General features: G+C 50.4%; 1 long non-coding RNA gene across 1 annotated transcript in view, besides 1 other annotated feature; it reads right to left on the bottom strand.

The window, feature by feature from the left end:
- Window positions 4,912–22,436, bottom strand: part of LOC124900162 (uncharacterized) — a 29,315-nt gene continuing 11,790 nt past the window's right edge. The window contains exon 2 of the long non-coding RNA XR_007057986.1: window positions 4,912–5,288. This is a non-coding gene — a long non-coding RNA (uncharacterized LOC124900162). The remainder of the gene's footprint in view (window positions 5,289–22,436) is intronic.
- Window positions 11,343–12,102: an enhancer, noted in NCBI's record as "H3K4me1 hESC enhancer chr4:604697-605456 (GRCh37/hg19 assembly coordinates)". NCBI's record gives its function as "activates a minimal SCP1, AML or CMV promoter by ChIP-STARR-seq in naive H9 embryonic stem cells {active_cell/tissue: H9 hESC(naive)}" and the evidence as "EXISTENCE:reporter gene assay evidence [ECO:0000049][PMID:30033119]".

Raw genomic sequence — 22,436 nt, 5'->3', positions numbered from 1 at the left:
CACCTGTGAGATGCACCTGTGAGACACACCTGTGAGACACACCTGTGAGACGCACCTGTGAGACGCACCTGTGAGGCTCACCTGTGACATGCACCTGAGACACACCTGTGAGACGCACCTGTGAGACACACGTGAGACGCACCTGTGAGACACACATGTGAGACGCACCTGTGACATGCACCTGTGAGACACACCTGTGACATGCACCTGAGACGCACCTGTGAGAAACACGTGAGATGCACCTGTGAGACACACATGTGAGACGCACCTGTGACATGCACCTGTGAGACACACCTGTGACATGCACCTGTGAGATGCACCTGTGAGACACACGTGAGACGCACCTGAGACGCACCTGTGAGACACACGTGAGACACACGTGAGACGCACCTATGAGGCACACCTGTGAGACATAGCTGTGAGACGCACCTGTGAGATGCACCTGTGAGATGCACATGTGAGATGCACCTGTGAGGTGCACCTGTGAGACGCACCTGTGAGAAGCACCTGTGAGATGCAAGGACTCACTGGGCGGCTTCTCCACAGATGCACCTGGCGAGTGTCTGAGGAGATATGGGAGTGCTCTGTCCCTTGGCTCCTACTAACTTTGCCTCATCATAATGTAGAATTTAAAATTAGCAAGCACTTCCTGGCAGTCACTTAGAACAAGGTGTTTGTCATCAAATAGCTTTTACATGAAGAGAATCCTAGTTTCTTGTACTAAACTGTGGAAAAGATGCAATTGTACAAGGAACAATTGGCCCTGATGTTGAAATGGACCGGTCATGAGGAATGGCAAGAGGTGAAAGTGGAGAGAAGATTCGAGCTCAGAATCAGAAATCTCATGAAATTTGCAAGCAGAGAAACAGTCAGCTCCGTGGGGAGCTGGTGCTCTTCCAGACCATTTCCCTGGAATGAGGACAAGGAAGGGTGAGGAGGTGGGGCTCCTCCTGAGCTGGTGTGGGAATTCCACCCAGGACAGGACAGGGGTCTTTGTGGGTGGGGGCGGCCGCGGCCCTCGGCCTGGGCTCTGTCCTCTGCCCATGCTCAGCTGCTGTCTGACCACAGGCGAGGCTCTCGGCTTCTTCAGGTCCCATTTTCTGGTTTGTTCTCGCCAAGAAGAATCTTGTGGCATTGTTTTTCCAGTGGGAAGTGATGCTGTTGAGTGTGTGGCAGGTGCTAGTGCCCCCGATGAAGACGGGTGCAGACGACACGCCACAGAGGACCACGGTCCCCCCTGGCAAAGGTTGGGGGAGGGTCCACAGGAGCTGGGCAGGGGGGTGTCTGGAAGGGGGTCCTCACCGTGTGGTACCTGTGGCTCCTGTCGGGTAGTCTCAGGCTCCCTCCAGATGTGAGGGCGGCACCCAGTCCTGCTCAGATCAGAATACAGATGGGCTTTTGTCCTCGAGCCGAGGACGTTTCTGTGTGTAATGAGGAGATGCGGAGCAGGAGGCAGAGCCTGTGTTCCTCTGTTGGTTGGGGATGGTTGGTGCCTAGCAGGATGATCCCACTCCCACCAGTGGCACGACCACCACCTGCTCCATGGTGCTTATTTTTGCTTTTTCATAAAGAGGCCTCAGGGCTCCTCTGTCTCCACTCAACAGGAGCTCTTCATCCATTCACCTCCTTGTAGCCCTGGAAGTGCCATGTTGAAACTCCGGACACCCGCCCCTCATCCATAAAAGACTTGGTCCCTGTTCTCACAAGGCCTATAATCTAACGAGGGCAACAGAAGTTTATTTTAAAAATCCCACAAATGCATGGAAAACACTCACTGTGCCCAGGGCCAAGGCTGATGGAGATGCCAGGTGTCCGTGGTTTGGGAAGCCACATGGAGGGGACGATGGCACAGAGAGCAGGGGGAACCGGTGTGATGCGAAGCAGCCCTGGCCGGTGGGGGATCCAGTCCGTCTCACTTTAGGGTGGGACAGGTTGAGGTGCAGCTTGGAGGGGGCGCAGGCACCACCTCCTCGCAGCGGGCGCCCCTCACATGTGTGGGTGCCCTGCATGTGGGTCACACCAGCGTGGGGAGAGACTCCTGCTGCCGTTGAGTGGAGGGGCTTAAATCTCAGCTCCAGATGGATACTTCTCAGCGGGCAGAAACCATCGCTCATCCTTCAGGACGCGTCTGACACGGGGCATCAGAACGCGTTTTGCTTTGTGTGTCTGAGGGTCTTTGTGCGTCTGTGGGTCTTTGTGCATCTGTGGATCTCAGTTTCTCAATCTCTTGGTGCATCTTGGGTCTCGGTCTCAGTGCTGGACGCAGGGAGCATTCTGCCCTTGTTTATGGGGTTCTTGGTTGATGAGGAGACAGAAAGTGAGCTCATGTCTCCATCGCGATGTCTCTGGGCTACATTCTGCTGAGTCTTTCCCTCGTTCTGTCATTTCACCTCTTTTCTGCAAACGTTTTTTTCAATCATGTAAATGCTTCTTTTCTAGTGGCCGGGACTTTCTGAGGTCTCCATCACCAACCCAGGTTCCTCGGGGCTCTGCACTTGACCTGGTCAGACGGGCCTTGTCCTGGTGCAGCTTTCAGGGGGCTCCCAGGTGGCCACTTTTGCTCAGCTCTTGGGGTTTTGTGCAGTGCGTGCGAAGCTTAGTCCTCAGCCAAAGCCCCATGTGGCCCTGTGCAGATCGTTGGAGCCTGTCGTGTGCACAGATTCCTCCTCGGCAGCAATCTTCCCTGCAAACTGCGGCCACCGCTGCCTCCCCAGGGCCAATCTGTCTTCCAAGCTTCGTAAGATCTCAAAACAGTAATTCATTTTTGTCTCCCAGTTTTCCATAACAACACATAAATAATTGCTATCATAAATTAGTATAGCCTCATGTAAGGTAATCCCTAATGTGTCTACACAGTGCTCTGCAGATTTTCAAAATAATGAAGATGTTTTCATGTGAATGGGGTGCCCTTGTGTTGTGCACAACCTGAGCGACTGTGCACCTTAGCCCCGTAGTATCCCAGAGAGGCTTTGACTTCCCATGTTGGGTGGATCCTGAAACTCTGAAGCAAGCATCTCATGATTAGGAGAACTAATGTAATTTTGCAGAGTCTTTTTAAAAATTATTTTCTCCTTTATTATCCCATAGTGATCATCAATAAAATATTTAAAATGTAGATGTCATGGGTATGAATGTTAGAATGGCAACTCTCTGGGCTGGGTGCGGTGGCTCACGCCTGTAATCCCAGCGCTTTGGGAGGCCAAGGCGGGCGGATCCTGAGGTTCGGAGATTGAGACCATCCTGGTTAACACAGTGAAACCCCGTCTCTACTAAAAAATAGAAAAAATTAGCCGGGCATGGTGGCAGGTGCCTGTAGTCCTGGCTGCTCGGGAGGCTGGGGCAGGAGAATGGTGTGAACCCAGGAGGCAGAGCTTGCAGTGAGCTGGGATCGTGCCACTGCACTCCAGCCTGGGCAACAGAGCAAGACTCCGTCCCCCCAAAGAAAAAAAAAAAAAAAAAAAGAATGGCAACTCTCTGGAGAAACAATCACTGAACTGGTAGAAAGGAATGAAATTATAAAGAAACAGTTGAACAGAAGAGGATTACCAGCAGATGAGAGCTATGGCTGCCTGATTTAAAAGGCCAGGGGAGGCCCACCAAAAAGGCCACAGGCCAGCCTGGCCAACATGGTGAAACCCCATCTCTACTAAAAATACAGAAATTGGTTGGGTGTGGTGGTGCGCGCCTGTAATCCCAGCACTTTGGGAGGCTGAGGCGGGCGGATCACCTGAGGTCAGGAGATCGAGACCAGCCTGGCCAACATGGTAAAACCCCGTCTCTACTAAAAACACAGAAATTGGTTGGGTGTGGTGGTGCGTGCCTGTAATCCCAGCACTTTGGGAAGCCAAGGTGGGTGGATCACCTGAGGTCAAGAGTTCGAGATCATCCTGGCCAACATGGTGAAATCCTGTCTCTACTAAAAATACAAAAACTGGTTGGGTGTGGTGGTGGGTACCTGTAATCCCAGCACTTTGGGAGGCCGAGGTGGGTGGATCACCTGAGGACAGGAGTTCGAGACCATCCTGGCCAATGTGGTGAAATCCCGTCTCTATTAAAAATACAACAATTGGTTGGGTGTGGTGGTGGGTGCCTGTAATCCCAGCTACTTCGATGGCTCAGGCACAAGAGTTGCTTGAACCGGGAAGCGGAGGTTGCAGTGAGCTGAGATCACACCACTGCACTCCAGCCTGGGCAACAGAGTGAGACTCTGTCTCAAAAAAAAAAAAAAAAAAAGCCACAGGAAGCTCCCCCGTGAGAAGCACTGATTCACCCCACAGCTCCAGAGGACCAAGAGATTCAGACCCTGGGGCTGGTGTCAGTTGGCACTCCCCAGGAAGCAGACACTGGGAAGCAGGTTCACTGTTGATTTGTTTGGACGTTGGTCCCCTCCAAGCCTCATGTTGAAATGTGATCCCTGATGTTGGACGTGGGGCCTGGTGGCAGGTGATTGGGTCATTGAGGTGGATCCCTCACGAACAGCTGGTACCCCTCTTGTGGGGCTGAGTTCTCCCTCTCACCTCCTGTGAGCTCAGGTTGTTAGAGCCTGGCCCCCACCCCCCTCTTCTCCCACCCTGGCATGATGGGTCCCCTTCACCTCCCCCACGAGTGGAAGCTCCTGAAGCTGTCACCAGAAGCAGACCCTGGTGCCAGACTTCCTGTACAGCCTTCAGAACCGTAAGCCAGAGAAACCTCTTTCTTTACAAATGAGCCAGCCCCAGGTGATGCTTTACAGCAACACAGCTGGACTAAGACAGCATGCCCTGGACTCAACCTGGACACCTGACTGACGCCCTGGACTCCAGCATGCCCTGGACTCAGCCTCAGGGGAGGACTCTAGAGAACTCCCAATACCATGAACCAGCATCAACCCACGTGCAAGAGTCCAGGGAGACAGAACACACACACAACCAGTTATGAAAGCAACTTTATTACTCACAGGCAGGCAGCAGGGAACAGCAGAAGCTTAGGATCCATGGTGAGCGGGTCCCCGAGGCTCGGGAAAGCTGCCCAGAACGAATGGAGCCTTGTCTATGTGTGTCCCGCTTCACACCACAGCTGAGAGATCCCAAAGGTGCACTCTGCTCTGGGTTCCATAGCCAGGGGTGACTCATAGGGCTACAGTGTGTGGGACATCCTGCCCTAGGAGGCACAGGAGCAGAGCCAGGGCTGTCCGGCCGGTCCTTCCCTAGACCAGGTGGTTGCATTCCTGGCACATTCTTCAGGTATTCTCGAGAAGTACGCGTGAGAAGGGAGGGGCTTGTTCATTCCAAGGCCACCTGGGACTTGTCCTGCAGATGCCAAGGCAGAATAGGAAGTGGATTTATGGGATGGGGGCTCCCTGCGAGGGGTAGAAGGGAGATGAAGGAGGGGCAGGTGGGGAACCCCAGGTGGGGGTGTGGTTGTGGCACCTGTGGAAGGAGAGGGAAGGTAGGTGGCTGGGCAGGACCAGCCTCAGACTGCAGTTCGAGACCGTACTAGCCAGGCTCGGAGGAGCCCTGGGGAAAGAACGCCTTTCGGGGGAGCCCCTGCGCGTGGAACATTCTGAGTCTACACCTGCCATTGCCCAAACTGGACTTCCAGCCTCTGGTACCTCATGTGAGGAGCTCAGGAGCCGCTGCTCCACCCTAACAACAAGTCAGCTGAGCAGACTGAAAATCAACAATTCTTCCCACACCCAAAACAGCGGTGAAGACGTAGGTACCTGGTACACCCAAGACTTGAGGGGCTGACGGGCGCTGGCCTGTCAATGACGGGGCCATGGTTTGCCGGAGCAGAGACGCATCCGTGGAAACCACCTCAGGAGCCTGTTCCAGGGCGGGGAAACCCGAACTGTAGCTGATAGATCCCTGGAGGCTCAGTGTGGGCAACTCCAAACTCCTCCGGGGACCCAGTCATGGCAGACACCACGGGGGGATCCAGTCATGGGGGACACCATGGGGGGACCCAGTCCTGGGGGACACCACGGGGGGACCCAGTCATGGGGACACCACGGGGGCACCCAGTCATGGGGGACACCACGGGGGGACCCAGTCGTGGCGGACATCATGGCGGGGGGACCCAGTCATGGGGGACACCACGGCAGGGGGACCCAGTCATGGTGGACACCGCACGTATGTGAGTTTTACCCCAGGAGTTCTACCACATTCTCACAGTGAATATCAGAAAAATCTCATTCTGCAGGTAGGAGGATGGAAAATGGAATCATTTTGAAACACACCAGAACATTCTGTCCTTAACAAGAGCTGCCCTCAGGAGAAACTGTTCAGCTAGACTATAACCTGCCAGGGGAAGAGAAATATCCAACTTCCGCCCCCTCGAGCCATCCTGTCTCATCTAAGAAAGTGAGGGGTGGGCGGCTGAGAAACCCTTGTGAAGCTCACAGCCCAATGCACAGTTTCACTAAAGACTGAGGCCTGGTTAGAAGGTTCTAGAATGCTTCCCCTCCCCCCACATCTTACAACCACATCACTAAAGGCATCTTTACGGCAGGTCTTTATACTCTGTACATCATGTCTGGCTATCAAGAAAATATTACAAGACATACTAAAAGGCAAAAAAAAAAAAAAAAAAAAAAAAAAAAAAAAACCCATACCAGAATTTGAGGAGCCAAAACAACCATTAAAACCAGACAAGGCAGTTATGTTGGAATTATCAGACCAGGAATTTAAAACAGCAATGATTAAGATGCCAAGAGCTCTAGTGGGTAAAGTAGACAGCACACAGGAACAGATGGACAATGTAAGCAGACAGATGGAAAGTCTAGGAAGGAACCAAAAAGAAACATAAAGATAGAAAACACGGCAACAGAAATGAAGACTGCCTTTGATAGGCTCATTAGGAGACTGGACACAGCTGAGGAAAAAGCCTCTGAGCTTGAGGATAGCTCAATAGAAATTTCCAAAAGTGAAAGGCAAAGAGAACAATCACTAAAAAAAAAAAAAAAAATAAAAGAACAGAATATACAAAAGCTGTAGGACACCCATAAAAGGTGTAACACAAATAATACCAGAAGCAGAAGAAAGGAAGGAAGGAAGGAAGAAAGGGACAACAAAAAAACTGAAACAATAATGACTGAGGGATCCTCCAAATTAATGTCAGACACCAAACCACAGATCCAGGAAGCTCAGAGAACACCAAGCAGGATAAATGCCAAAACAAAACAAAACAAAACAAAAAACACTGCCCCCAAAGAAAACAAACAAGTAAACAAAATGACACCTAGGCATCTCATATTTAAACTATGTAAAATCAAACATGAACAAATTTTGAAAGAAGCCAGAAAAAACCTCCCAACACCAACACCTTGCCTGTAGCGGAACCAAGATAAGAATGACATCCACCTTCTCTCAGGAACCATGTGTCTGAGTCCATTTTCTACCACTGTAACAGAATGCCACAGATGGGGTAAATTATCAGGAAGTTTATTTGGCTCACAGTTCTGGGAGATGGGAAGTCCAGGAGCTTGGTGCTGGCATCTGGCCAGGGTCAGTCTATGGTGAGGGGCAGAGCAGGGACGCAAGCAGGGGAGACAGAGAAAAAATCAGCCTGAACTCATCCTTTTATCAGGAGCCCACTCCCAAGACAACGCACACACTCCTGAGTTAATGGCACTAATCTGCTCACGAGGGTGAAGCCCTCAGGAGCTAATCGCCTCTCAAGGGTCCCATCTCTCAGTATTGTCTCAATGGCAATTAAATTTCAACAGGACTTTTGGAGGGGACATCTGAACCACAGCACCACACAGCAGGAAGAGAGCGGAGTGAGATATTTAAAGTGTTGAGAGAAAAAAACCCACCAAGCTAAAATTGTGCACCCCATGAAATTATCCTTCAAAAGTGAAGGAGAAATAAAGACTTTTTCAGGAAAACAAAAATTGAGGGAATTTGTCGTCAGTAGACTTGCCTTGCAAAAATCTTGAAGCTTTTTAAAGAGAGGAAAGCAATATAGATCAGAAACTCAAATCCACGTAAAGAAAGGAGGAACACCAAAGAAGGAACAGTGAGGTAAAATAAAATTTTTAATATTCTTATTCTTAGCTGATCTAACAGATAACAGCTCTAAATAATAACAACAATGTATTTAATTATATATGGCTCCTTATGTATCTTGTGTGTGTCTTATGTACATATATGCTTACATATGCTTAGACATGATGGAAACAAATGGCATAAATCATGCAAAGGACACGAAGAAGGAGCTAAGATTATGTTGTTGCTGTAAGGAACTCATGTTACCTGTGAAGCAGTGGAGTGTTTGAAAGTAGACTTGGATTAATTGGGGATGATATTGCAAATTCTAGTGCAATCACTAACATATTCTAAGAAAGGAGAGAAATGGAACTGAGCATATAAGATGCTCAATTAGAATCATAAAAGGCAGAAAAAGAGTGGGAAAAAAAAACAGGAAAAAAGAACAAGGGCAAAAAAATAGAAAGTGGTAACAAAATGGCAGATGTTAATCCCATTATATGAATAATTACTTTGAACATCAATGGTCTAAATACAACAATTAAAAAAACAGGGATTTTTGGCAGGGCGAGGTGGCTCACACCTGTAATCCCAGCACTTTGGGAGGCTGAGGCAGGCAGACCACAAGGTCAAGAGATCAAGACCATCCTGGACAACATGGTGAAACCTCGTCTCTACTTAAAAAAAAAAACATGGTGGCATGCACATGTAGTCCCAGCTACTCGGGGGGCTGAGGCAGAAGACATTTTGAACCCAGGAGGAGAATCGTTTGAACCCAGGAGGCGGAGGTTGCAGTGAGCCGAGATGGCACCACTGCACTTCGGCCTGGCAACAGAGTGAGACTCTGAAAAACAAAACAAAACAAAACAAAAAAAACAGAGATTTTAAAATCAGAGTGGATAAAAAATGATACCCAACTATATATTGTCTACAAGAAACACACTTTACAGTTAGATACATATAGACTAAAAGTAAATGAGTAGAAAAAGAGACACTGTGTTTACACTGATGGAAAGAAAGCAGGAGTAGCTATTTTAATTTCAGACAAGGCAGACTTCAGAGCAAAGAAAGCTACCAGGGATGAAGAGAAAGCATTTCATAATGATAAAGGGGTCGAGTTGTTCAAGAAGACATAACAATCCTTAAGGGATATGAATCAAACCGTGTGAGGCAAAAACTGCAAGGAGAAAGCTATGAATCCATGATCATGGTTGGAGACTTTAACACGCTCAGTCAGATATGACTGAATTGTCTCCCCAAAAGTTTATTTATTGTGCCTTGACCTCAAATGTGACTGTTTGCAGAAAAGGCTTTTAGGAGGTAATTGAGGTGCAATGAGATCACAAGGGTGGGGTCCTAATTCAACACCACTGGTGGCTTTCTAAAAAGAGGATGAGATTCTCCACCACACATGTATCACAGAAAGGCCACGTGAGGATACAGCGAGAAGGTGGCTGTCTGCAAGCCAGGAAGAGAGCCCTCACCAGAACCTGACTGTGCTGGCACCCTGATTTTGGACTCCCAGCCTCCAGAACTATGAGAAGTGTCTGCTGTTTCAGAGACCGGGTTGGTGTGGTATTTTGTTAGGGCAGCCTGAGCAGAACGAGACAACTCCAATTCTGCTGAGCGAGTGGTGGGGATGCCTGGAGGCCGTGGCCCCACTCCTCAGTGTGGGTCTCTAGAGGGGAGGTCTGAGCAGGCACCATGGTGGCCAGTCCATGCCTCGGGCCACACAGTCCGACTTCTCCACCCATGTTGGGGGAGGAGCTCCTCATGGTTTCTGGGGCCTGTCCCCGAGAGAAGACTTTGCACAGTTAGTGGGGCACACCACAGCCTCCAGCCCTGCAGCTGGCCTCCATCATCGCTTCTCACTGGGCTGTGACAGGGGCTCCCTTCTTCCTCCATCCTCGCTTTTCACCTCCTCTCCCTTGACTATCACTTCTGTAGGTCTTGCGGGCTTCCCTGGCTATGTGAGGAGACTGAACCCCTAATGATCACACTCTTACTGGGTTGGGGGTGGCTGCACCTGCCCAAGCACAGTGATGCAGGGCAAGGGCACCCTGAGGTTGGCCTGGCCCCACGAGGTCCCTTCCTGCCTGTGTGCAGCTGCCCCACATCCTCCGCTGCTCGGAGCCAGCTTCTCCACCAAGACAGCCACTCCTCTCCCGCCTCAACCCTGGACACCAGAGTCCCAGTTCCCGGCAGCAAGGACCTGAGTTGTGGCCCCTGTTAACAGCGTGCCCCCTTAGGAGATGAGGACCCCCAGCCTTGCCAGCCAGTATTTCAGGGTCAGGAAGCACCAGGCCCCAAGGGTCACTGGCGGGAAGGGGAGTAGAGAGCACCCCCACTTCTGCCTCTTGGTTCCAGGCTCCTGCTGGTCTTCCTGGTGGCGTCAGATGTCACACGGTGCCCTGGGTTTCGTGTACCTGGAAGGTGGTGCACTGTCCCCCGGGTTCCTGGCCCCCATCACACAGGGCTGACTCCAAGGGGGGCTTCAGCTGTGCCTCCAGCAACCGACCATCCGGTACCTCTCAGTCCAGAAGCTTCTCCATGGCAGGGTGGCTGATGCAGCCAGGAGTCCCTTCACCCCGGCCCTGCCTTCGCTGAGCAGTTAAACGCTCTGGGGCGTTGTCACTCACAACTGGGGCTGGCGCTGGCCACTCGGCCTGGCCGCCCTTCCTCAGAGGAGACGAGTGCCTCTCTTCAGGGGCCCCTTGGGCTCTCACGGTTGGCATATGCCCTCAGTTTCCTGTTGCTCTTCCACTGGCATCCACCACCTGGCAATGCCCAGCCACCCTCCACCCCACGCCTCCCCAATGCCTGAGCCACAGCCCCTGCCAGGACCTTCCCTCAACCGGTTGCTCTCCAGGCGGCTGCCGGTGCCACCTTGTCCCAGGAGCTACATCTGCCTCATTCTAGCTGCAGTGCTCGCTGCTAGACCACAACGGAGCCAGGCTTCCTATGCTCTGGCATTTTAATGCCACCTCATCAGAGTGAGGCAGGACCCAGGTGGCTTCCCCAGAGAGTTAACCCTGGAGGGAGGCACCGGCATGATTAAGACAGAGCCCAGAACCCAGGAAGGAGCCTTCCCCCAGCCACAGAGGGCAAAGACACAGCCTGGGAGGGGCTCTTGGAGAAAAAAATCGGCAGCTTATCTAACACGGATGCACTTGGGAATAAAGAAACTAATACTATGCATTAGTGTTAGCTGGGACTACAGGTGTGGGCCATCACACTCAGATAATTTTTGTATTTTTAGTAGAAACAAGGTTTCGTTTCACCATATTGCCCAGGCTGGTCTTGAACTCCTGTCCTCAAGTGCTCTGCCCGCCTTGGCCTCCCAAAGTGCTGGGATTACAGGCATGAGCCACTGTGCCCAGCCCAGCATAAAGCTCTTGAATGGAAATAGCATTCCAGAGAAAGACCAGCACCTGCTCCCCCGACACTTCACACCCAGCCTCTGTGCAGGTGAAGGCGTGACTGAGAAAGACCAGCACCTGCTCCCCTGACACTTCACACCCAGCCTCTGTGTGCAGGTGAAGGCGTGACCGAGAAAGACCAGCACCTGCTCCCCCAACACTTCACACCCAGCCTCTGTGTGCAGGTGAAGGCGTGACCGAGAAAGACCAGCACCTGCTCCCCCGACACTTCACACCCAGCCTCTGTGTGCAGGTGAAGGCGTGACTGAGAAAGACCAGCACCTGCTCCCCTGACACTTCACACCCAGCCTCTGTGTGCAGGTGAAGGCGTGATGCTTTCCTCACTTTCCAACGGTGCACAGGTTTTGCTTGTGTAGTCTCTCCCCTTAGATGGTCCTAGGGCCACTGTCCCCCAGGTTCCTGGTCTCTGCCTCAGCCGCCTCTGCCTGGCCCACCTGGGTCCATGTGGTGCCACCTGGTGCTGACCTGTCACAGGGGCTGGGAGGGCACCGTCTCCCTCTTGGCTGTTCTTTTCTGCCACTTCCAGACGGGGGTGAAATGCCGCCCTGCAAGTGGCCAAGAGCACTCGTGCTGAGCAACCTGCTGCATCTCTTTGCAGCTTGTCACAGCCAGGTGTCAGACACTAACGCTGTTCCTGGCTTTGCTGCCAATTCTTCCCTGAATCACTACTGCCTGGAATTGTATTTTCTTAGTAAATGACTCACGCTTAACCCTTGCCCCAGGCTGTTTTCTAGGCAGTCCTGGAGTATCAGCTATCTTTTGCTGCATAGCAAACTGCTCCCAAATTTAGTGGGTTAAACAATTTTCTTTGCTCATGATTCTGTGGGTCAGGCTTTTGGGCTGGGCTCAGCTGGGCAGTTCTCTATGGTTACTGTGCAGCTTGGCCATCTGGCAGCTGTCCTGGGCTGGATGTGGCAATGCCTCTCATGAGGCTGGCAGCTGGCGCCCGCCCCTGACTGGTTGGTCCAGGAGGCCTCAGCTGCTCCACGCAGCTGCTGCTACTCCAGAGGGCTAGACCTGGCTGCCTCACAGCCTTCAGGGAAGGTTCTGCAAGGCAGGAGCAGAAGCTGAGCAGCCTGGAGGCCTTTCCTGGGGTGGTCCCTCCTGGCTCCTCTGCCACTCTCTGTGGGTCAAGGTAAGTCACAGCCCAGCCTGGATTCAAGGGACAGAGAAAAGTCTTCACCTCTTGATAACAGAGCAGCAGAGTCTCATTGCAGAGGCACGAGGCAAAGAAGGGAGGGATTGTGCCATCTTCACAGATGTCCTGCGATGCCAGTCTGAGACAACCGCCATAACACTGTCCCTAATGTTACTTTGGAAGACAGGAAACAGGAATCTGGAGCCTAAATTCCAGGGAGGGAGAGATGAAGTTGTTGTTATTTAGATGATGTAACTGAAAATCTGGGGAAGGCGAAGGAGTCCATTGAGATGGCATTAGGATGATCAGTGAAGCTTTAATTTTAATTTTTTCCATCAGCGAGGGAGCCGGGTTTTCAGCTGCACGGATGACATTGATGCACAGCACTTGCAATGAGACCTTCATCCCGTGTCTCCCTGTCTCCCATCCCTCCTGGCTTACACTACTACCCTGTCACCACTTTGAGGGTTTTGCAGCATCAACAGCTCTCTCTGGGTAGGTCGCCTCCCCCTGACACAAAGGTGCTCAGACGCCCTCCCACAACCCTCACTGCTAAGCTCAGGGGCTCTGTGTTCCCCTGACCCCCTTCCGCACCTTCCTCTTGCTCTTCACTGACTCTACCTCAGGCTCCACCCTCACGCCCCCACCTGAGCCTGAAGGGGCAGGGCTCCTCCGCGCCACACTCCCTCCTCAGCGGTCTCACCAGGACCTGTGTGCTGTACCTGCAAAACAGGGCACATCCCATCTTCCATGTGTCAATCATCTTCCATGTGTCAATCATCTTCCATGTGTCAATCATCTACCATGTCAGTCTTCCATGTGTCAATCATCTTCCTTGTGTCAGTCTTCCATGTGTCAATCATCTTCCTTGTGTCAATCTTCCATGTGTCAATCATCTTCCATGTGTCAATCATCTACCACGTGTCAATCTTCCATGGGTCAATCTTCCATGTGTCAATCTTCCATGGGTCAATAACATATTTCTGGCTTTTTTATGCTCTGTCAGTTTTGAACTTCCCACTCTGGTCTTTTTTCCCTCTTAGAATTAATTAATGGAATTCCTACACCTGGCCTTAAAACCTGCCAGTTAGCTGGGTGTGTGGTGTGTGCCTGTGGTCCCAGCTGCTCAGGAGCTGAGGTAGGAGGATCACTGCAGCCCAGGAGTTCATGTCCAGCCTGGGCTACAGAGCAAGACACTATCCCTTTGAAAAAAAACCTGCCAGCTCTCCCAATTTCTGGTGAAATAAATCTTGACAAAGTAAGAAGTGAAAAAAATTCCCTCTTTGTTTACAGCTGCAGAAAAGCAGACGCAATTCTGTACCATAAACCGCCCTACAGGTCTCAAAGACACATTTGTACACCGTGTTCATAGCAGCACTATTCACAACAGCTAAAACATGAAAGCGACCCAAGCCTCTGTCAAGGGATGAGTGGGTGAGAAAATGTGGCCCATTCATACGATGGGATGTTATTCAGCCTTAAAAAGGAGGGAGATTCCGAGACTCACCACAGCACGGATGAACCTTGAGGACACTGTGCTGAGTAAAATAAGCCTACACAAAAGGGCAAGTACTGTGTAATTCCACGTAAGAGGTCCCTGGAGCAGTCACAAGTCACATTCCCAGAGACAGAAGGTGGAATGGTGGGTGCCGGGGTGGGGACGGGAGAGGGGGAAGTGAATGTTTAATGGTGGCGAGTTTCAGTTTGGGAAGACTAAAAGGTTCTGGAGATGAAACCTTTTACATCCTTTTACATATTAAACCTTTTACATATTAAATATATTCATGATGTGCAGCCATCATGAACATATTTAATACCTCTTAACCAAATACTTAAAATGGTTAAGATGGTACATTTTATGTTTATGTATTTTACCACAATGCTTTATTTTTCTTCTTTTGGAAAAAAAGAGGCGATGCTTAACCCTGAAGAAAAGCTGTGCATGACTCGGGAGGGAAAGGCCCTTCCTGCAGGAGCCTCACCCCCCTCAGCAGCGTCTGCCTCAGGAGGGGAAGACCCTTCCTGCAGGATCTCCCGAGCAGCGTCTGCCTCACAGAGAAACAAGCCAGACCTCAGCACTCGCTTGCAGACTCCAGACTGTGGAGGGTTTAGAAGACTCTGCCTGTGGCCCCCACTCTCAGAGCCCTGTTCTGCAAACCCAAGGGGATCAACAGCCTTTCTGATGTCTGCATGGGTTTACTGTTGGCTACGTTTAAATGACAACACATGTTCTAAAGTAAAAAATAAGCAATGGGCCTGGTGCAGTGGCCCACGCCTGTAATCCCAGCACTTTGGGAGGCTGAGGCAGGCGGATCACCTGAGGTCAGGAGTTTGAGACCAGCCTGGAAAACATGGCGAAACCCCGTCTCTACTAAAAATACAAAAATTAGCCAGGTGTAGTGGTGGGCGCCCGTAATCCAAGCTACTTGTGTGGCTGAGTCACAAGACTCACTTGAACCTATGGGTAGAGGTTGCAGTGAACCATGGTTGCGCCACTGCACTCTAGCCTGGGCGACAGAGCAAGACTTGATCTCAAAAAAAAAAAAAAATTTATCATGAGATTGCAGCAATTCAGTCCCATCCTCAGGGTCCACTTCTAATTCTAGTTCTCTTGCTGTTTCCACCACATCTGCAGTGACTTCCTCCACTGAAGTCTTCAGGTTCTCAAAGTCATCCTTGAGGCTTGAGATCAGCTTCTCCCAAATCCTGTTCACGTTGATATTTTTATGTCCTCCCATGAATTGTCAGTGTTCTTAATGTCATCTAGAATGGTGAATCCTTTCCAGAAGGTTTTCAGTGAACTTTAGCCAGATCCATCATAGGAATCACTGTCTATGGTTGCTATAGCCTTAGAAATGTTTTTTTTTTTTTTTGACAAAGTCTTGCTCTGTCGCCCAGGTTGGAGTGCAGTGGTGCTCACTGAAACCTCTGCCTTCCGGGTTCAAGTGATTCTCCTGCCTCAGCCTCTTGAGTAGCTGGGATCACAGGCACCTGCCACCATGCTTGGCTAATTTTTGTATTTTTAGTAGAGACAGGGTTTCACACCATGTTGGTCAGGCTGGTCTTGAACTCCTGACCTCAGGTGATCCACCCGCCTTGGACTTCCAAAGTGCTAGGATTACAGGCGTAAGCCATCATGCCCGGCCAGAAATGTGTTTCTTAAATAGTAAGACTTGGAAGTCGACACAACTCCTTGATCCAAGGGCTGCAGAATGGATGTTGTTTTAGCAGCCACGAAAGCAGCATGACTCTGTGTATGTCTCTGTTAGAGCTCTGGGAACTAGGTGCATTGTCAACGAATATACGTATGTATTTTCAGACAGGGTGTCACTGTCACCAAGGCTGGAGTGCAGTGGTGTGATCCTGGCTGACTGCAGCTTTGACCTCCCTGGCTCAAGTGATCCTCCCACCTCAGCCTCCTGAGTAGCTGAGCCCACAGGCATAAGCTACCATACCTGGCTAATTTTAAAATTTTTTATAAAGATAGGGTCTCCTTATGTTGCTCAGGCTGGTCTCAAATTCCTAGGCTCAAGTGATCCTCCTGCCTCAGTTTCCCAAAGTTCTGGGATTACAAGCGTGAACCATCATGCCCAGACTCATAGTAATATTATGAAAAGAATCTTGTTTTTCCCGAGCAGTAGCTCTCAATAGTGGGCTTAATGGATTCCGTAAACCATCGGGAGCACATGTGCTGCCATCCAGGCCTTGTTGCTCCATTTCTAGAGCAGGCAGAGTGCATGTGGTATAATTCTTAAGGGCTCTAGGATTTTCTGAATGGTGAATGAACACTGGCTTCAATCTGAGGCCACCAGCTGCATTAGCCCCTCACAAGAGGCTCAGCCTGTCCTATGAAGCTTCGACGCCAGGCACTGGCTTCTCTCCAGCTATAAAAGTCTCAGATGGCATCTTCTTCCAACAGAAAACTATGTTGTCTACATAAAAGGTCTGTGTAGCGTGGCCACCTTCATCCATGATCTCAGCTGGATGTTCCGGGTAACTTACTGCAGCTTCTCCATCAGTACCTGCTGCCTCCCTTGAACTTTCACGTTATGGAGATGATTTCTTTCCTTAAACCTCACAAACCCATCTCTGTTTGCTTCAGACTTTTTCTTCTGCAGCTTCCTCACCTCTCTCAGCCTCCACAGGATTTAAGAGTCGGGGCCTTGCTCTGGATTAGGCTTTGGCTTAAGGCTTTGGCTCCAGCCTTCTTGGCACCAAGGGCCGGTTTTGTGGAAGACAATTTTTCCACAGACTAGGCGTCGGGGGGAAGGTTTGGGATGAAGCTGTTCCACCTCAGATCATCAGGCGATAGTTAGATCCTCACAAGGAGTGCGCAACCTCGATCCCTCGCACGCGCAGTTCACAGTAGGGTTTGCACGGTTCTGAGAATCTAATGCTGCTGCTGATCTGACTCTCCTGCCACTCACCTCCTGCTGTGTGGCCTGGGGGTTGGGGACCCCTGGCTTAAGGGAATGTTGTGGGTGGTTTGATCATTCCATCTAGGCCATTAAAACTTTCTCCCTCTCAGTGATTTGGCTGTTTCGCTTCCTTATTCACGTGTTCCACGGGGTAGCACTTTTAATCTCCTTCAAGAACTTCTTTTTTGCATTCACAGGTTGACTCAGTGCTTGGTGCACGAGCCTAGATTTCCACCTGTCTCGGCTTTCAACATGCCTTTCTCACTGAGTCTAATCATGTCTAGCTTGTGATTGACCATTCACTTGAGGACTTAGAGGTCACTGTAGGGTTATTGGTTGGCCTAATTTCAAATTGCTGTTTCTCAGGGAATAGCGAGGCCCAAGGAAAGGGAGAGAGGGAGGAATGGCTGGTCCATGGAGCAGTCAGAACACACACAGCACTTATCAATTAAGTTCACTTTCTTATATGCGTGGTTCATGGAGCCCTAAAACGATGACCAAGTAACTCCAAAGATCACCAACCACAGACCACCACAAAAGATACAATCATAATAAAGTTCAACACATTGCAAAATTACTAACGTGTGACTGAGAGATGTGAGCGAGCACACGCCGTTGGAAACACGGCACAGGTGGGCTTGCTCAACGCGGGGCGGCCACAGACCTTCAACAGTCAAACATGCGGTATCTGCAAAGTGCAGGAAAGTGAACACAATAGGCCGGGTGCGGTGGCTCACACCTGTAATCCCAGCACTTTGGGAGGCCGAGACGGGCAGCTCACGAGGTCAGGAGATTGAGACCACCCTGGCTAACACGGTGAAACCCCGTCTCTACTAAAAGTACAAAAAATTAGGCGGGCGTGGTGGCGGGTGCCTGTAGTCCCAGCTACTCGGGAGGCTGAGGCAGAAGAATGGCGTGAACCCGGGAGGCGGAGCTTGCAGTGAGCTGAGATAGCGCCACTGCACTCCAGCCTGGGCGACAGAGCGAGACTCCGTCTCAAAAAAAAAAAAAAAAAAAAAAAAAGGTGAACACAATAAAACAAAGTGGCCCACATCCTTTAAAATCTATGTCCTTATTTAAAATTGGGTTGTGGCTGCACATGGTGGTTCATGCCTGTAATCCCAGCACTTTGGGAGGCCAAGGAGGGTGGATCATTTGAACCCAGGAGTTTGAGACCAGCTTGGGCAACATAGTGAGACCCCATCTCTGCAAAAAAAAAAAAAAATTAGCTGGGTGCGATGGTGTACACCTGTAGTTCCAGCTACTTGGGAAGCAGAAGTGGGTGAATTGCTTGAGCCTGGAATGTTACGGCTTCACTGGGCTATGGTGGTGTCACTGCACTCCAGCCTTGGCAAGAGAATGATACCCTGTCTCTAAACAAAAAAACCCAAACCTCAAAACAAATTGGATTGTTTGTTTACTTATGACAGCAGTTTCTCCTTATCTGCTGGGTATACATTCCAAGACCCCCCAATGAATGCTTGAAACCATGGATAGTACTGAACTCTGAACTTTATACATACTACATTTTTTCCTATAAATATATACCTATGATAAAGTTTAATGTACAAACTAGGCAAAATAAGAGACTAAAAATAATAATAAAATAGAACAATTATAACAGTAAACTGTAATAAAAGTTACGTGAATGTGGGCTCTGTCTCTCTCTCTCAAAATATCTTGTTGCATGTAATATTTTCCGACCACAGTTTACTGCTGGTAACTGAAACCACACAAAGTGGAACCACAGACAAGCGTGTGGTGGGGGGTGCTGTAATGCATTTTGTTCTTTATATATTCCAGACATAAATCCTTTATCAGATATGTGATTTTAAAATACTTTCTTCCAGTCTATGAATTGCCTTTTTATTCTGTTAACAGTGTCTTCCCAAGAGCAGATGCTTTTAATGCTGATGAAGGCTGGTTTATTGTTTTTATAGATGATGCTTTTGAAATCACAGCTAAAAAATCTTTGTCCACTCAAGATCACAGAAATGTTCGCTTAGGTTTACTTCTAGCAACTGTGTAGTCTTAGGTGTGACATTTACGTCTGCAGTACATTTTGAGTTATTTTTATATGTGGTCCGGGTATAGATCGAGGCTCTCTTTTTCTTTTTGCACATGCATATTCAATAGTTCCAGCATCACTGGTTGAAAAGACATTTCTTTCTCTACGAATTGTCACATTTACATATTATACCACTTCACATACAGTGCAAGAACCTTACGTCAGTGTTATGGATTGAAATTGTGTCCCACAAAATTCATATGTTGAAATCCCAGCCCCCAGTACCTCATGACGTGATCGTTATTTGAAGGTAAGACCTTTAAAGAGGTAATTTAGGCCGGGTACGGTGGCCCGCACCTGTAATCGCAGCACTTTGGGAGGCCGGGTACGGTGGCTCGCGCCTGTAATCCCAGCACTTTGGGAGGCCGAGGCAGGCGGATTGCCTGAGCTCAGGAGTTCAAGACCAGCCAACATGGTGAAACCCTGTCTCTACTAAAATACAAAAAATCAGTTGGGCGTGATAGCGTGCACCTGTAATCCCAGCTACTCGGGAGGCTGAGGCAGAAGAATCGCTTGAACCCGGAAGGTGGAGGTTGCAGTGAGCTGAGATCATGCCACTGCACTGCAGCCTGGGCAACAGAATGAGACTCAGTCTCAAAAAAAATAAAATAAATAAATAAATAAATTTTAAAAATAAAGAGGTGATTAAGTAGAAATGAGGCATGAATGTGGGGCTCTAATTCAACATGGCTGGCATTCCTATAAGACGAGGAGACCAGGTCACACAGAGTCCCCTGGGTGAGCCCGCGTGGAGGGAAGACCATGTGAAGAGGCAGCAAGAGAGCAGCTGTCTGCAGACCAAGGAGAGAGACTTCTGCGGAGACCACACCCGTCAACGTCTTCATCCCAGACTCTCAGCCTTCAGAATGGTCAGAGGACACATTTCTGCTGCTGAAGCTACCTAGTCTGTGGTAGCTTGCTATGGAAGTGTTAGAAAACTAACAAGGAAAGTGGGGGTCTGTGTGTATTTGGGGGATCAAAGCCTTTGTGCAGAGGCCCCTGACCCTCCACTCTCAAGGCCTGGGTAGGGCTGAGGAATGACCGCATCTGTGCTTCTACAGGCTTGCATCGCCCTGGCAGCTGGAAGCCGGTTCTGCGGTGTTAGGTGAACACAGGGCACCTGACTGGTCCAAGCACGCCACCCAGAGGCAGCCTTGGAACTGCACCTGCTGGGCAGGACCTGGGCTCTACCTGCGTCCTTCCTGACAGCCCATCAGAGTCCATGGGATGGATGCACCTGCTCGTGCACCTGCCTCCAAGGTCTGTGGGCTAGGTGGGCCCAAGGGGGCCTGGTGTTGGCACAGAGCCTCTGGAGCCAGGAAGATGGTGGCAGTGTTTGGTGGCTTCTCCTGGCCTGAACATGGCCCCCAGGGCTGGGGTGGGATAGGATGCCCTCATCTGCAGGTCCTTAAGCGGTTGTGATGACAAGAAGTGGGAGTGGCTGCTCAGGGCCCCTGGGCAGCTGGACCTTGGGGACAGTCCCTGGGCTGGGAAGGCGCTCAGAGTGCACGTCTTAGCAGCCTGGGGTGCCTGCTGCCCTTGACGGGGACATGGGTGGGTTTTTATAGGGCAGGGGAGTGGCCGACCTTGGGTAGAAAGGAGCAGAACGAAGGCCGGAGGAGGGAGGTGACTGGGCAGAGGCAGCCCCAGTGGCCGGGCCGCTTGCCCCCGTCTGTCCTGTGGGGCTCCCTCACGTCCCTTCAGTCTGCCCCCACTTTGGCGCCTTGAATTTGAGAGAGGCCACGTGTTCTTGAAGCCTAGTGGGATCCTCGGCAACTGCTTTTGAAATTCCTCTTTCACAACCAAGGTGGCTGGGGCAAGCCATCTCCCATCAGCATTTTGGAGAACAAATGCTTTCGCTGCCTTGATCCGCCCAGCAGGGCGGCTGCCAGTGCCCAGGTCTCAGCAGAAGCAAGGCAGAGGCGCGTGTGGAGACCAAGGGGCAAGAATGGCCCAAGCCTCAGCCTTGTCCACCCCATCCTTCTTCCATGCTGTGGCCAGTGAGATTTTTCTGAAACGACCGACCTGGTCCCGTCATTTTCCTGATCAAGACATCCTAGCAGTCTCCCAGTACTTTCTGGGAGTCTCCCAGTACACAGAAGATGTCCCTGAGGTTTCTGGCCAGGGCAAGGTTGGGGTTTCCAGTCCCCAAACAGGGGGAAACAGGGTGGGTCTGATCTGTGTGAGCAGAACAAAATCCAGCACCCCCGGCCTGGACACCAGGCCCTGCCCCTCACTCCCGTCAGCGACACTGGTGAGTAGCAGGTGTGCTGAGGATTTGGGTAATGAAGGGTGTTTCACCACAGCCCATCCTAGCAAATAGCTTAAGGGTTCCATTCATGGATTCTAATTACTTAAACTGTTTAGTTCATTCCACAAATACTCATGGAGCACCTGCCTTGTGCTAGACACTGTTCTTCCTCCTGGAATCATCAGTGAACAAAAGAGACAAAACTGTCTTCCAGAGCTTATGGGAAGGATAAACATCGCACACAAGTGACTTCTACAACACAAGAGTGATTCCTTTATGGGAAAAATAGAGCTGAGAAAAGAGACTGGGGGCCCTGGGGGTGCACTTTGAGTCAGAGAAGGCCTCCCTGCGCGATGTTTGGGTAAAGACATGAAGAGGGGGAGGGGCAGCCCTGTGGCTGTCAGAGGCGGAGGCTGACGCAGGACTGGGGGTGGAAAGAGACAAGCTCACACAGTGACTCAGTCTCTTTTAGTGACTTCAGCTTTTACTCCGAATGAGCCCAAAGCCATTTTGAGCACAGGATGATGTACTTGACTTAAAATTTTGAAGGCTAATTGTGGCTGCTCCTTTGGAATAGACTGAAGATGAGGGGTGGCTCCTTCAGCACCCAGGTCAGAAATGCAGGGGTCCGTCAGGCTCCAATGCACGTCGAGGTTGGAGGCCACAGAATTTGCTGCCTGGCTGTGGGTGAGGGGCATAGAGGATGTCCCCGAGATTTCTGGCCAGAGCAAAGTTGGGGTTTCCAGTCCCCAAACAGGGGACAACAGGGTGGGTCTGATCTGTGTGAGCAGAACAGACACTTGAGTTTCCATGTTATGGGTGGGTGCCTGTTGGATACCCTGAGGGAGATGTTGGACACGCAGCTCTGTCTTATCTGGAGGCCCAGGGAAAGATCTGAGCTGAAATATGAATTTGGGAGTAGCCAAAATACAGGTGTTTCTTAAAGCCATGAAACTAGATGACTTTAAAATAACCTTCAGGTGAATCCAAGACGGCTGATTAGAAACAGCTGCGGTCTGAGGCGCTTACAGAGAAGAATGAAAAGGGGTGAGTGAATTCAGCACCTTCGACTGAAATATCCAGGTTCTCATATTGGGACTAACTAGGCAAACAACTCGACCCATGGAGAATGAAAAGAAGTGGTAGGAGGGTCA

Source organism: Homo sapiens, chromosome 4 (genome assembly GCF_000001405.40).
Source record: "Homo sapiens chromosome 4, GRCh38.p14 Primary Assembly".
NCBI classification, from domain to species: Eukaryota; Metazoa; Chordata; class Mammalia; order Primates; family Hominidae; genus Homo; species Homo sapiens.
This window is presented reverse-complemented; position numbering and strand designations above follow the sequence as displayed.